Raw genomic sequence first — 15,352 nt, 5'->3', positions numbered from 1 at the left:
GGCACCAGGTGACCATGGACGTGTTGGAGGGTCTGTTATTGGGCATCCCTGTTTGTGGATGGGCATTCTTCACTGTGTGTGTGACTTGATCCACGCATGCTCCATGCCTGGTCCTGGGAGCACGGCTAATGTCATCTCTCCACTTCCTTCTCTGTTCTCATTTATTCTTTTTACTTTTTTTTTTTTTTTGAAACAGGATCTCACTGTCACCAAGGCTGGAGTGCAGTGGTGTGATCAGAGCTCACTGCAGCCTTGACCCTCCTGGCTCAAGTGATTCTCCCACCTCAGCCTTCTGAGTAGCTGGGACTACAGGCATGCACCACCACACCCTGTTAATTTTTTTTTTCTTTTTTGTAGAGATGGGGATTTCACCATGTTGCCCAGTCTGTCTTTTTACATAACTTTAAAACACTAGCATCTGTTGAGTTTTTTTCCAATAACAGAAGTCATCTGTGCTAACTATAGAAAACCCAGAAATACACAAAATCCCCCACCCAGAGCTAACCACTGTTAATACCTAAAGACTATGATCAGCCTGGAGAGGGGCATGAAGTTGTACCAGGAGCTCAGCAGTGTTGGTGGGGGTGTCTGGCCTTGTGTCCCCTTCCCTCCCCTGTCATGCACAGGTGCCCTGTTCAAAGACTCCAGAGGGACCCCTGAGCCTGCTATGGGTGTCTAGGGATGCTGGAGGCCTCAGAGGCACCAGTGGGAAGAGACAAGAATGTGGAACCTGCAGCGGGCGCAGCTCAGTTTCCTGGGACTTCCGTGAGAAGTCAATGAGGGCATGCACATGAGAGTGACAGATCTGGACAGAACAGGTCCCTGCGTGGACTCAAAGCTTCCTCTAGAAAAGAACACTTGACCCCTGTCTCCCTCATCCCCAGCCCAGTGGCTCACTGCCTTCCTACACTCCACTGGGAGCAGAGAAAGACCTGCCTTTGCTGAAAAGGCTACTGGCCCTAAGAGACATCGGGACCTTCAACCTCCTCGTCACCCCTAAGGGCTTTCCTCTCCTGCAAGCAAAGAAAAAACACCATCAGGCTCCTTCAAACACAAATGGTCCAGGATAGGCACAGGCAGAGGCTCCACGCGGCTCGTTCCTGGCCTGTAGCAATGCACTGCTCCGTGCAGGACCTGAGAAGAAGACATAGAATGTTCCAGGGAGGACCCAGGTCAGAATACCGATGGCCGTGAAGAGAAGAGTTTACTCTCATATGCAGGGCAAGCTTAATCCAGAGAGAAAGTCATGAAAATTAGATCTGTTTTTGTGAACACTCGCTCTGTCCCAAGGAATCCCCTAGAAGTTTGTTTTTTTTTTTTTTTTTTTTTTTGAGACGGAGTCTCACTCTGTTGCCCAGGCTGGAGTGCAGTGGCGCGATCTCAGCTCACTGCAAGCTCCGCCTCCCAGGTTCACGCCATTCTCCTGCCTCAGCCTCCCGAGTAGCTGGGACTACAGGCACCTGCCACCACGCCCGGCTACTTTTTTTGTATTTTTAGTAGAGACGGGGTTTCACCGTGTTAGCCAGGATGGTCTCGATCTCCTGACCTCGTGATCTGCCCGCCTCGGCCTCCCAAAGTGCTGGGATTACAGGCTTAAGCCACTGTGCCTGGCCTATAAGTTTTTACATAAATTATCTCATTTTATCCTCACAACTCTCCAAGAAGGTGGTAGTGCCTGATTTTACAGATCAGGCTCAGAGAGGTTTGGAAATAGGGCAGCTCTGTTTCCAACCCAGGCCTGTCTGCATATGGAGCTTAGGCTGGGCCTCACCACCCTGCTTCTCCCAGGGATGTTTGCCCTCAGCCTTGACCAAATGGGAGCCCAGGGCAGCCAAGAGAGGCCAGGGGCCACTGTGCCTGGGACACAGAGGCCAGGCCACACATGGCAGACTGCTGACCCCAGCCAGTTGGCAGTGATGGGGTCAGGCCCTGGAGCCTGGAACCAGCACCTCCCTTGGCCCTGCTGTCCCGGGTTATCAGGAGCCTGAAGCCCTCATCTCCACCCACAGGACCAGCCCATGGGCTCATGAGAATACCTCACCATGGGACAGCTGGACTTGTACCTTGTCTGGAGCTAGCCCCAGCCTCCCACTCCCTATTCCGCAGTGAATGCTAATGGGGGCAAGGAGTGGAGTGGACAAGGAGCCATGGGGAGACACAGACAGGGAAAAATCAGGATTGTTCTATTTGCGGGAGAAGCCCCCAGCTCCCCGTGCCATGGCAGTAGAAATTTGGCAGGGGCGTCCCCGTCCATGGGGCCTACTTCACCGTGTACCCGGACTTGGGACCATCACAGACTTCGGAACCATCAGGAACCTGGGAGCAACTGAAAGCTGAACTACAGTGGGCTTTCAGACACACAGCAGGCTGGCGGAGCACAAATAGGACTGGTTCCCTCCAGGCCACCAGCAGGGCGGTGGAGGTCTTCACTGACTCCCTGCCTACCTCTCAGGACAATGTCCTTTTGGCTCCACAGTCCCTGAAGCCAGAGCTGGTGGGGGCAGGGAGGCAGCCACCAGCCTCTATATGTAGTGGAGGAGGGGGTGTCCAGGGAGGGCTGCATGATCCTGAGAGCCCCCACCTCACCCGGCTGGACTATCCTCCCACTTCAGGGTTTCTCTGGGCTTCCATCTTGCCCCTGCTGAGCCCTGCTTCCTCCTCTACCAGCAGCACAACCCCCAGGCTGGGCTCAGAGACCTCATGTGGTGGGATCACTCAGTACCCCGAGGCGGAGGGAAGGAGGGAGGGCTGCAGGGTTCCCCTTGGCCTGCAAACAGGAACACAGGGTGTTTCTCAGTGGCTGCGAGAATGCTGATGAAAACCCCAGGATGTTGTGTCACCGTGGTGGCCAGCTGATAGTGCCAATCATCCCACTTTGCCCTGAGCACTCCTGCAGGGGTAGAAGACTCCAGAACCTTCTCTCAGGCCCATGGCCCAAGCAGCCCATGGAACTTCATAACCTGAGCTCTCCATCTCCCTCTCTCTCCTCCTCTGTTCTCCCTCCCTCCTTCTCTCCCTCACCCTCCTCTGCTCCCTCTGCCTTTACCACTGTGGGGGGGTCCTCTGGAGGGCCCTGCCACCCCACCTCTTCCTCGCTGGTGTCTGCCTTCCTGGCACCAATCCTGGCCCTGGAGTTTGTCCTGGGCCTGGTGGGGAACAGTTTGGCCCTCTTCATCTTCTGCATCCACACGCGGCCCTGGACCTCCAACACGGTGTTCCTGGTCAGCCTGGTGGCCGCTGACTTCCTCCTGATCAGCAACCTGCCCCTCCGCGTGGACTACTACCTCCTCCATGAGACCTGGCGCTTTGGGGCTGCTGCCTGCAAAGTCAACCTCTTCATGCTGTCCACCAACCGCACGGCCAGCGTTGTCTTCCTCACAGCCATCGCACTCAACCGCTACCTGAAGGTGGTGCAGCCCCACCACGTGCTGAGCCGTGCTTCCGTGGGGGCAGCTGCCCGGGTGGCCGGGGGACTCTGGGTGGGCATCCTGCTCCTCAACGGGCACCTGCTCCTGAGCACCTTCTCCGGCCCCTCCTGCCTCAGCTACAGGGTGGGCACGAAGCCCTCGGCCTCGCTCCGCTGGCACCAGGCACTGTACCTGCTGGAGTTCTTCCTGCCACTGGCGCTCATCCTCTTTGCTATTGTGAGCATTGGGCTCACCATCCGGAACCGTGGTCTGGGCGGGCAGGCAGGCCCGCAGAGGGCCATGCGTGTGCTGGCCATGGTGGTGGCCGTCTACACCATCTGCTTCTTGCCCAGCATCATCTTTGGCATGGCTTCCATGGTGGCTTTCTGGCTGTCCGCCTGCCGATCCCTGGACCTCTGCACACAGCTCTTCCATGGCTCCCTGGCCTTCACCTACCTCAACAGTGTCCTGGACCCCGTGCTCTACTGCTTCTCTAGCCCCAACTTCCTCCACCAGAGCCGGGCCTTGCTGGGCCTCACGCGGGGCCGGCAGGGCCCAGTGAGCGACGAGAGCTCCTACCAACCCTCCAGGCAGTGGCGCTACCGGGAGGCCTCTAGGAAGGCGGAGGCCATAGGGAAGCTGAAAGTGCAGGGCGAGGTCTCTCTGGAAAAGGAAGGCTCCTCCCAGGGCTGAGGGCCAGCTGCAGGGCTGCAGCGCTGTGGGGGTAAGGGCTGCCGCGCTCTGGCCTGGAGGGACAAGGCCAGCACACGGTGCCTCAACCAACTGGACAAGGGATGGCGGCAGACCAGGGGCCAGGCCAAAGCACTGGCAGGACTCAGGTGGGTGGCAGGGAGAGAAACCCACCTAGGCCTCTCAGTGTGTCCAGGATGGCATTCCCAGAATGCAGGGGAGAGCAGGATGCCGGGTGGAGGAGACAGGCAAGGTGCCGTTGGCACACCAGCTCAGACAGGGGCCTGCGCAGCTGCAGGGGACAGACGCCAATCACTGTCACAGCAGAGTCACCTTAGAAATTGGACAGCTGCATGTTCTGTGCTCTCCAGTTTGTCCCTTCCAATATTAATAAACTTCCCTTTTAAATATATTTATTTGCAAGACCAAATATCTGTCTTTAATTCTAACCTGGGACTGTCAGTAGGCGTCAAAGTGAGCGCCCCAAGGTGAAGGGAAACTTGGGAGAGAGTGGGGAAGCCATCCCACAGCCCCATCCCAGGGGGCACTGTCCTTCCCAGAACTTCTGGGAAGCCCCGGCATGTCCTGAAAGGCAGAACTGCTTTCTTGGGTGAGGCCTCAGGCAGGCCACCAGGGCTCCAGGCCCTCGGGTACAGAGTTTGATGCTGGGGACCTAACATCCCTCCCCAGTTCCCTCAATCCACTTAGCCCAGCCCTCTCATATCATGGACAGGACGCACCCCAGCTACTAAAGTCGTCAGGAATAGAAGTGAAAGCCCAGAAGTGTCACACACAGACCAGGAGGGTGGCATCAAGGGTCCATGTGGATGCTGGGGAGGGAGCGAGAGAAAAAGTATCAGGCAGAGGGAGGTGGGCCCGGGAAGGATGAGCGGGTGAGTACCAGACCCCGCCTCCACCGTGTATCTCCAGCCCACTTCCCTGTTCTGAAAATCTACCTGCTGCACTCAGAAACCTACCAAGGTACTGGGGTGCCACCTGGGCCCCCCCCAGGGTTGCTCTTCTGTCTCTCGGCTCCCCATGGGCCCCTCTTGCCCCCTCAACTCCTACTGCTCCCTTTTACTCCCTGGAGCCACGCCTAGGGGGTCCCTGCTTCTCCACGCCCTCTGTCACCACAGGGAAGGGAGTCCAACCCTGGGCGGGGCCACCTCAGCCTGAGTCAGGTCTTTTAGGAAAGGCCTGCACACTCCTGGAGGATGGGGACTGAGCAGCTCCTTCGGGTGGATCCCCACCTGGGGCGCCAACACTTACCGCCAGCTCAACACCAGGCACCTTTCCTCTGGTACCATCTCTGCCCCTGAATGCGCCCACCTGGGCTCAGGGCAGCTCCACGGGCCATTTCCTCAATCTCCTCTTCCCTGGACCCTTCTCCTACCAACTCCTCCCTCAAGTCCTCGCACCTCTCCCAGCACCTGCCCTCACTCCTTCATGACCTGATGGAAGGGAAATGGACAGATACTCCCATGGTTTGCAGGCATGTCTGCAGTCCTGTCTTTTCCCATCAAGGGAGAGAGCAGAGGCTGCCCTTGAGGAGTTCCTGGGTAGATGCTGGTCACAGGGTTCAGGCCCGCACTCCTAACCTGCCCTGGATTCTCCTTGCTCCCCATCTTGACCCTGAGGACTGCTTCCTCACTGACAGTCTGGGTCACACCACCCTTCCCCGCCTTTCCATCATTTGCAAGGCCTTCTCTAAACGGGGTTGGGTGCTCCCTCGCGAAGCAGGCTTCAGGCTGCCGCCACATGGAGGTAGGACTGACTCCCTGGTCCGAACTATGGCCCCAGCCCACTGTACCCTTCTCTGGACTTAGTTCTCCATCTGTGAATAGGAATAGTAATCCTGGCCCTTGCCCAGCTCCAGGGGCTGGGGATGGGAGTAACTATATGCCCAGAGCACTTGGTGAGGAAGGCAGTTATTATGTGGAGCAGGGAAGGGAGAAGGAAGAGGAGTGGGAAGAGAAAGAAAACTGTGTTTAAGTGTAGGGTTTCCTAGAGATGGAGTAGTACCCCGTGGTGGTATAATGGGAGCTGGGGGCAGGCGGAGACCCCATTTCCTACATTTGGGTTCTAAATGGCATTTTGGTCCCGGGGACAGGCTGCACTATCCAGTGTGAATTTTGGGCAGCATCTTCCACCCTTTTTTCTCTTCTTTCTCCTAACATAATCTGCTGCCCCCCTGAGAGAGGATCAGATGGCATGCATTACCTTCCTCCAGGGACTCCTGAGCAGGGGGCAAGCAGGCAGGGCTGGGTGACAGGCCAGCAGTCATTAACTTGCCAGTGCTTACTGGGCACCTGCCGTGGGCCAGACACTGAGCTACAAAGGCAGACAACTGTACTCTCACTTTGAGCTCCCCCCGGCCAAGCCGGGGAGAGACGGACCTGCAAATGGAACCAGCGCAATGCAACCCAGTGCAGGCCAGGGTCTTTTAGGTGGTGATGCACCCTGAGAGCAGAGGCTTGAAGAGCTGACTCTGCCTGGGCTGTCAGGTAAGTCATGCACATAAGCTGGATCTCAGAGGATGAGGAAGGAGAGAAAAGAATGGCATCCCTGGCACTGGAAGGGCATGGCCAGCGCATGCAGCTGTGAGAAGACTCAGTGTGCAGGGGTGTGGGGAGGAGACCACTGAGGCAAGAGAGGAGGAGGCCTACCACAGAGCTAGGGGACAGGCAGGAAAGGCAGGAAGGACCAGATCCAGAAGGGCCCTGGTGCCAAGCCCAGGAGTCTGGGTTGATCCTGCAGACAGTATGGCAGGAGACGGGTGTGTGCACGAGGTTGTTAAGTGGAAGATGATGATTGGTTTGCATTTTCATCAGTTACTCTGGCAAGAGCATGAGGGTAGGGGACGTGGGAGATGACCTATGTCTGTATTCCAAGCAAAGGCCTGAAGAAAGGCAGCAGCAGAGACCACGGAGGGTCCAAATGGGGAGGCTGTGTGGGGGACACACTGAGGATGCAGGTGGTGGAGCAGGTTTGGAGGTAAAACAAGTTGTAGGGGCTTGGAAGACACCCAGGCAAACATGTACAGTAGCACACTTCGGACTGGAGATAGAAGCAAGGGTCTTCCACTCACCAGGGCTATGGGAAAGAATGTGGTCATCTGGTGAGAATGAAGAGAATCAAGAAACATCCTTTAAAAAAATCCCTGCAAGTAAGGGACACATGTAGGAAAACCCAGTGAAATGCTCAGAAAAAAAAAAAAAATCTTTAGGAAAAAAGCAGGACTGCAGAAGAAAAGAAGTCAAGGCAATCTTCACCCAAGTAAGAGATTGCCCATTAAAAAGGACAGAATCAAGCCATCTTTTATGAAGGTAAAAGCCAAACATAAAATACCCAGACAGTCTGCAAAGTGCCTCCTGCAAGAACAGAGCATTTTCAAAAGTGTTTCCTAATTACATATTGAAGAGAGTTGATCTGAAAACCAGTGTCCATGTCTGACACTGTCTGGTCAATGAACACCCTGGATGGACAACCTGGATTAACAATGCACTGTCTGGGTCTATTTTTTAAAAGCTTTTCAAAAAGTGATAGGTTGTCATTGTATGAAATTTAATAATATGCAAAACATGCTATCATTTATGGATTCATACATACGCATTAATTGTATAAAATCATGTATGGGATGATAAACACTAAATTAAAGAGAGTACTTACTGCTGAGATGGAGGAAAAATGGGAAGTGGCACACAGGTGATTTACTACTAGATCTGAAATTATCTTTGTAAAAAAAATCTGAAAAAACGACTATGAATGACATCTGCATGTTACTTAGCATTGCTTTGGGTAGAGAATAAAGGGATTAGTGTAACGAATGAAGAAAATTCATATGGCTACAACATCTTCAAATGCTCAAGAAAGCTCAAAGAGGATGACTTAAGAATAGCATTGGATTTAACAATTAGAAGGTCATTAAATGTGACTTTATTGACAGCAATTTCAGTGAGTGGATGGGGGTGGGGGCAGAATGGAAGCCATAAAGTGCTATAATGGGTTGAGGAATTAATGAGATTTGAAGTAATGGAGACAACTCTTCCCCTTTCAACAAATGTGCCAGTAAAAGGAGAGAAGATAATAGCTTTAGATGAAACTAAGCAGAGGACAGATGTTTTGGTGGTTTGACTGTTCTGTTATTTGGTGGATTAGATGAAGAGATTTTTAAATACAGGAGGAGAAGGGAGAAAAGAAAAATACTGGGGAGGAGGGGAATGATGATGGGGACTGGAATGTACCAGACCTTATTCTAAGCATTTTACACATATTAATTTTTTTAGTCCTGATGAGGGAGATTCCATTATTATCCCATTTTACAGATGGAAACACTGAGGCACACAGAGGTTGAATAATTTGCCCAAGGTCATCCAGCTAGTAAGTGGCAGTCTGGCCTGAGTCAAGACACTATTGCAAGGCCCTAAGGGAGTGGAAGGATGAATGCAGCTCATGGGTGGCAGGAGGGTCTGTCCCCAGAAGATAGAAGGATGCCTCTTTGAGCTGGAGCAATGGCACTATTTCAGTAGGTCTTGGGACAAGGGGAATAAAGCTGAAGGGATTCTTAGAAGCCGCAGCTCTCAGGGGATAAGGACTTAAAAAGTGGCAAAGGATTGGAACAGCTGGTTCTGGAAATAAGAAAATCAAGCTCCCAAAGAAGAACATAGAAAAGGGTCACTAAGCAAGTGGCTCAAAGGGGCCTGGTGAGTTAAGCACCCTGATGAGTTAAGCTGTGGGGTCGTGAGTAGGTGGTGTGGTTCCTCCAGCAATCTCTGCACCCAGGAGCAGAATCAGAATAAACAGAGGGTAAAACCTACCCAGGGAGGGGCAGAAGAAACCTCCTAGGAAGTCCGATGATAAAAACCCAGTCCTGGTATGGAGCTTAAGGTCGGCCCCCTTGAGAGGTATGGCATGCAACACTCTAAGCTACAGAGGAGCTTCCAGAAAGAGGGAGGTGATATTTGAGTTCGCATTAAAAGCCTTAATTTAAAACAAAAAACAAAAAAACAAACAATAAAAACACTAAGAAGGCTGGGTGCAGTGGCTCATGCCTGTAATCCCAGCACTTTGGGAGGCCAAGGAGGGCAAATCACCTGAGGTCAGGAGTTCGAGACCAGCCTGGCCAACATGGTGAAACCCCGTCTCCACTAAAAATACAAAAATTAGCCGGGCATGGTGGCGTGCGCCTATAGCCCCAGCTACTTGGGAGGCTGAGACACGAGAATCGCTTAAACCCAGAAGGTGGAGGTTGCAGTGAGTCGAGATCGCGCCATTGCACTCCAGTCTGGGTGACAGAGCAAGACCATGTCTGAGAAAAAGGAAAAGAAAAAAATAAGCTTAGTGACTCCTTTTAAGAAAATCTTTCAGAAAGCCCAGCAAACAAGAGTCACAAACATGTGTACTTCACAAACACAGGCTGGAGGGGTCCCAAGGGAGCCAAGCTTCACTTTCCCCTATAATGACCTTGGCACAGCAGCTGAGACAGAGTCCACACAAACAGCCAGCCAAACAGCAAACCCCATGTTGGGGCACAGCAGCCTTCCTCAGTGCACCACCTGAATACCCCAGCACCCATCCCCACAACCCAGCACTGGCCACAGCAGGGCACAAGTCACACTGCAGGGTAGTTCACGGGAAAAAGGCTGCCTATTACACCTCATACCTCCAGGCCTGGGGGCACAGGGTCAAAGGCCTCCTACTGGGGTGACCTCGCCTCGTGAAACTTCCATGTCCCCAGGATGTGGCTTATGAGACAGCAGAAGAAGATGCAGACCCTGGGGAAAGGCCTCTGAGAGTCTCAGTGCAGCTGGGGCACAGCAGACCAACTGGCCTGGCCTATTACCTCCCCGGGGCCCTCGGAGCTCAAGGTTCTGAAACAAGGACCACCTGAGGCTGGGCCTAGGGGTGCGTGCACAGTCTTACACCTGAGCCATCATCCTAGTAAAGAACAGCATAAAACCAGGCAAAATTTCCAGGAATTTATTGGAAACACAATACAAATTGGTTAGTAGATGGCATCTCCTTACAGACAGACAATCCACACTGTGGTATCATGCTCAGAACGAATTATCCTGCGGAAACACTCATGAGCACAGGTGCGTGCTCTGGGTTAGCTTCCCTGGCAGGGAAAATCAGAGACATAGTGCAGAGGAACAGGAGGGGTGGACAGAAAACTGGGACATGGCCTTCCTGGGGGGAATGGTGAGGAGGGGCTGCTAACTGAGTAAATTCCCCCAAAGGAAAACAGGGACAACAGTAAAGAATAAAGGCTTCCCCCTCCCTCCCCAAAGCCGTTTCCTCTCTAGGCAGAGTAAAACAGAATCTCCAAACACCCACGGGGCAGCTCCTCCACCTCCCCTCGCCAGGGACTTAGGACAGCAGTGGGGCATAAACACCAGGCTCAGACATGACACCGAGTGCACTGAGGCCACGCACAGCCCCACCTGCTTGCCCTCAGCCCCCTGCTCTGCTCTGAGTGGCAGGGGACTGACCCGGTGGGTCGCCTGTCCCAGGCTCCCAGGGCAGCTGCTTCCAACTGGGTTTCACTACTGTGAGGCACCTGCAGGACTCTGGAGGCCAAGAGGAGGGGAGAGGCTGGGGCCCCCTCTCTCTGCCTGGGGAAATGTTTCTGACAAGAATCATGGCTTCTCGAGGCTCCAGCCCCCACCAGACAGGTCCACAGTGTGGCAGGTCCCCCAGTGGCCTTGGCCCCAGGCTCTGGTGACGCGTCCTCCCCTGGTGCCCAGCCAGTCTCAGGATGGGGGCGGCTTGCTGTTGTTGTTCCCCACCTCTGGGTTGCCCCTCACTCCCCTGTTTTGCCTCTCAGCTTTTCTTGTTTTGTGTTAAACAAATCTCTGGATGAAAACCCCCACTTGAAATCCATTTTCCTGGGTGGGCCCTGAGAGATGGAAACTGGGCTGTGCACAAGGGGAATTGTGAAGGGCAGGCTGAAACCTTCCGGCGACACCCTCCAGTCGGCCCTCCTCTCTTGCGCACCTTTAAGAAGTGAAGGGTGGGCAGGCGATGACTGAGCCAGAGGGGGAGATAGCCTGCAGAGCCTGTGTCCTCACCCCAGGGGCATGTCTGCTGGGGGCTGCGCAGACAGTCTCTGCACGTCCACCCATGTGCTCACTGAACCACAGTGACATGCCACTGACACACAGCAGGGACACCATGGCCCCAGAAAGGGAGCGGGTGGCTGGGAAACCCTCTCAGCACCAAATGCTTCCAACGGCAAAGGCACAGACTAGAGGCGCCTCGGCACCCTTCCTCCATTGCCTGGGGGATTCTGTCAGAACGAGGGGGCAGTTTCCAGAGACAAAGGGAGAGCGTGAAGTCTCAGTCAACATCACCCTCCTAGGATGACTGGACTACAGAACCACGAGCTTTACTTACAAGAGGAAGGAAAAGCCTGCTTGGCACACGTGGCTCGAACAAGCTGCGCTTTTCCCAAAGCCAAATGTCAACTGGGTAGATAGGAGGGGCCTCCCTTCTCCTGCTTCAGACCTGGCCTGACTCCTGTCTCCAAATCTCTTGGGCCTGGGTGAGAGGGCCTCTCCCAAAAGGCAGAGAAAATGAAGCTGGCAGCTGAGTCACGGGCAGCTAATTGTTTCCAGAATCTGCAGTCACCACTTAGTAGGGGTTCAGAGAGAAAGTGAAAGGGTGAGGGAATCATTTCCCCTTCTGGGTCCAAGTACGACAATAAATCCAGAGCAGGGTACAGACAGACAGCTTTCCTGTGTCTTTTTCTTTAGGGAAGAAACATCCACGTGATGCGGCACCTCCTCCCAGGTCTTTGCTGAAGGGACCCCTCAGTGGGAACCCTGAGGAGAACCCCTGCCTGCCACCTCCACCCCTCTCACCAAATGCTTCTGACACAGGCCCCACCCTCAGCGCCCCAAGCCAAGACCCAGCACAGCTCCAAGAGTGGGTGGTGGTGGAGACATCCCATGCTCGCCCTTGCAGAAGCCTAAGATGAGAACCAACTCCTCCTCAGAAAAGAAGCTGAGATGTCTGCAAAACCGCCCTCCACCTCACACAGCACGCTCTCTCTGCCAAGCGGAGCTCAGCCTCCGAGGACACAGACATCTACAGCATCATTATCCTTACCAAGTTACCTCGTGCTTCCCAGGGTGTCAATTCAATTGTAGCCACTCTGTCTTGCAACAGCTTGGCTATTTGGGCCTCTCGTATCTGCCATCCAGCTGCCTCCTAGTAACCCCAGAGATGGCTGGGAGATCAGACTCCAGTTGTCTTTCTTGGGACTGTGACCCTGTGCCTGCAAACAGAGGGCAGGGGAGTTGCCAGCCTCACATCTGCTCAGGGAGCTCATCGGGCGCTGAGCTATTCCTATCCTTGCAGCTGCCAGCACAAGTAGCACAGCTACTCAGCACAGCTGAGTGGCCAACTGTGATGCCACCAAGGGCTCGTGCCGAGGGCAGGTGGGAAACACGAAGAGCCCAAGCCAAAGGAGCAGGCAGGTCCCCCGGGGCCTAGGTCACATGTGCTCACAAGATGTTGGGCTGGAGGGGTGGGGGTCATGGGGTTGGCCACACAGACTCATACCCACAAACACAGTTCTCTCACTCCACACCTCTAGGCCAAACAGAGTCTGTCTGCTTAAAATGAAACTAGGTCATTTGTGACCTGCTGTAGGACCCACCTGGCAGCAGTTCTTCATCAGCTGGTTTGGCTGCAAGGGAACAGGGCAGTAAGCAAACGGCTTGTCACAGTGATACACACGCTTGGCACTTTTAACAACTGCTCTTGCTGGAGCTGTCTGTGACCAAGCAGAGCCGGGCAGAACACCAGTTTCTCTCCAACCACAAAACACAGATGATGAGTTTACAGGCTTATCTTTTGTCAGAACCTCGGTAATTCTGTTCCTTGGAGGAGTAGGAGGGAGGGTCACATATAGGAATGCAGAGGGTAAACAGCAAATTCCCCCATTTCAAAAAAACAAGGATGAAGCCTATCGAGAAAAAGCTGAGTGACGGTAACAGCAAGGACAGGGAAATACCTTGAACCTCATAAACACTGGCGCATTTCTTAAGAAAAATCCATTCAGAAAGATGCCATGGCCCTCCTGTACATATTTAGTAACTATACAGCATAAGACCGAGCTGAGCGGACACATGCAGGGTGGCAGCGGCTCTGAGCTTGCAGCAGCCCCACTGCCAAGTGGCCGCTGTTGCTGGGTGGGGCGCAGGGCGCTGCAGAAGGGAGGAGGTGGAGGGGTTCCCTCAGCCCCTCAATTCTCAGCAGGTCTCGCTCCGTAACAGCGAGGTCTCTGACAAGAAAGCGAGGTGCTGCTGATCCACACGTGGAGACACAGGATTTGGAACGTGCACTCCCACAGTTCCTTCCCCGCCCCATTGCGTCTCCATGGATGCACGCAGAGGTCTCCCACTGAAATGTACTGGGAGTGGGGCTGCCTTCTTCCCAGGCACGGCTGTGAACATCAGCAGGACAGTGCAGCAAGTCTTGGATTGTAGAATGAATCAGGGAAAGCTCAGTCTGACACACAGCACGTGAGTTCTAGAAAAGGGAAGTAACAGTGTGAAGGTTAAACAAGTCCCGATGGTGGAGGCAAGATGAAAGGGAGGATGGACTCACCCCTCCCAACATCACAACCTTCAGGGAAAGGAGGCTCAGCAGTAGGTCAAAGAAAATCTCATGACTAGGCCAGGTGTGGTGGCTCATGCCCATAATCCCAGCACTTTGAGAGGCCAAGGCCGGTGGATGGCTTGAGGCCAGAAGTTCAAGACAGTCTGGACGACATAGCATCACTCTGTCTCTACCAAAATAAAAATAAAAAGTTAGCCAGGTGTGGTGGTGCATGCCTGTAGTCCCAGCTACTTCAGGAGGCTGAGGGGGGAGGACTGCTTGAGCTCACAAAGCCAAGGCTGCAGTGAGCTGTGGTCGCACCACGGCACTCCAGCCCAGGCGACAGAGCAAGACCCTGTCTGAAAAAAAAAAAAAGGGCTCACAATGTAGTTTAACACTGGATCAAAGGGAAAGTTTAATTAGGGCCAATAAAATATATAATTGATACTGAAGGACGGAAAGATCTTAAAAGCTGGGTTTTGAATAGGCGGGTTTAGTGGTCACTGGAGAGGTGCTACAGTACACCAGGCAAGAGAAGAGACTCATGGAACTTTTCTGACGGATACTAAGGAATAGGGAACACAGTTGGCTGGGAGGAGGCACGATCTCATCTGAGCTCATCATAATTAATCATAATGATGTGGGCACCCAGAGGCTATGAACACATTTCTTGTAGGAGGGGAGTGAACTTCACTCTCCCACAGTGTCAGGAACTATTCCTATGCCCCTCACTCCCACCCCCTCCACTTCCCCAAAAACCTTCAACTCTGACCATCTGGAGACTACAGCAGAGACAAGTAAATGAAAAAGCAGAAGTGGCCTGCAAACCACATCACCACCGTGTTGTATTAGAAAGTTGTGAAAGCTTTTTACTTAGTTATTAGGAAAGTGGCTAGGAGGGAAGTGGGGTTGTTTGCTGAGAAGGGATAAGATGCTCAGATATTCTCTGCCCCAGGCACATCACCCTGCTGCCAGGAAAGGACCCAGCAATGCTCACCTTCACAGCCTCAGAGCATGCCAAGGAAGGGCTGCAGGATGGAGCAGAGCTGTGTCTTCACTTCATGAGCTTTTCTAGGATAGGGAAGATACCTGTACCCAGCTTGGTATTTGATATGAGCTCAGCAAGTATGTGTTAAATAAAGGCCCAGATAAATTCAGTTTAGGAATCATGCTAACCTTGCTTTATTGAACATACTGTAGGTTATGTAACTACCTTATTTAACCTTCAGCAGAATCTTGGGAGTGTCAGAAAGGTTAAGAACTTGCTCAAGGTCACAGTAAGTAAGCTGAGGAGTCAAGATTTGAATGTAGACCTTAATTTGTGTCAAGTTTTTCCTACTACACCAAGCTGCTCATTCTCCATCCAGCCCAGTGTTCTGCTAACAGCCCAGTAAGAGCATCCTGACCTCCTCAGTGTCTAAATGGAAGGTTATGTAAGTGTCAGCGTCTCCTAGGAGCCACTCTCTCTTTTTGTATTTAGTGGAGCAGGAGCTCTGTCATTCATCTGTCTAAACCCTTATGGAATTAAACCACCTATCAAAAGAGCTGCTTTTAATAGTTTCCCAAGTTTCTAGCCTGCCATGGTAAATTGTGCTTTTATTTGTGCCAAACTTGCCTGCTGCGGTTTCAGAAACAACCCTCTCCTCCTA

At 53.1% G+C, this 15,352-nt stretch overlaps 2 protein-coding genes across 6 annotated transcripts in view, besides 2 other annotated features; one reads left to right on the top strand and one right to left on the bottom strand.

Annotated features, from left to right (window-relative positions):
* Positions 1 to 2,872: 2,872 nt before the first annotated feature.
* On the top strand, positions 2,873 to 4,509 carry OXER1 (oxoeicosanoid receptor 1). The gene has a single exon (NM_148962.5). The coding sequence runs from the start codon at positions 2,946 to 2,948 to the stop codon at positions 4,098 to 4,100; it is 1,155 nt and encodes a 384-aa protein (NP_683765.2). The 5' UTR covers positions 2,873 to 2,945; the 3' UTR covers positions 4,101 to 4,509.
* Positions 9,822 to 10,393: an enhancer, noted in NCBI's record as "H3K4me1 hESC enhancer chr2:42983755-42984326 (GRCh37/hg19 assembly coordinates)". NCBI's record gives its function as "activates a minimal SCP1, AML or CMV promoter by ChIP-STARR-seq in naive H9 embryonic stem cells {active_cell/tissue: H9 hESC(naive)}" and the evidence as "EXISTENCE:reporter gene assay evidence [ECO:0000049][PMID:30033119]".
* Positions 10,062 to 15,352, bottom strand: part of MTA3 (metastasis associated 1 family member 3) — a 262,837-nt gene continuing 257,546 nt past the window's right edge. For all 5 annotated transcript variants that reach the window (NM_001282755.2, NM_001282756.2, NM_001330442.2 and 2 more), the window contains one exon: positions 10,062 to 13,634. In NM_001282755.2, the coding sequence (NP_001269684.1) occupies positions 13,609 to 13,634 (26 nt within the window). In that variant the 3' untranslated portion in view covers positions 10,062 to 13,608. The remainder of the gene's footprint in view (positions 13,635 to 15,352) is intronic.
* Positions 10,394 to 10,964: an enhancer, noted in NCBI's record as "H3K4me1 hESC enhancer chr2:42983184-42983754 (GRCh37/hg19 assembly coordinates)". NCBI's record gives its function as "activates a minimal SCP1, AML or CMV promoter by ChIP-STARR-seq in naive H9 embryonic stem cells {active_cell/tissue: H9 hESC(naive)}" and the evidence as "EXISTENCE:reporter gene assay evidence [ECO:0000049][PMID:30033119]".

This window comes from Homo sapiens, chromosome 2, assembly GCF_000001405.40.
Source record: "Homo sapiens chromosome 2, GRCh38.p14 Primary Assembly".
Classification (NCBI taxonomy): domain Eukaryota; kingdom Metazoa; phylum Chordata; class Mammalia; order Primates; family Hominidae; genus Homo; species Homo sapiens.
The sequence above is the reverse complement of the archived record's forward strand: the minus strand, read 5'-3'. Positions and strand labels throughout refer to the sequence as shown.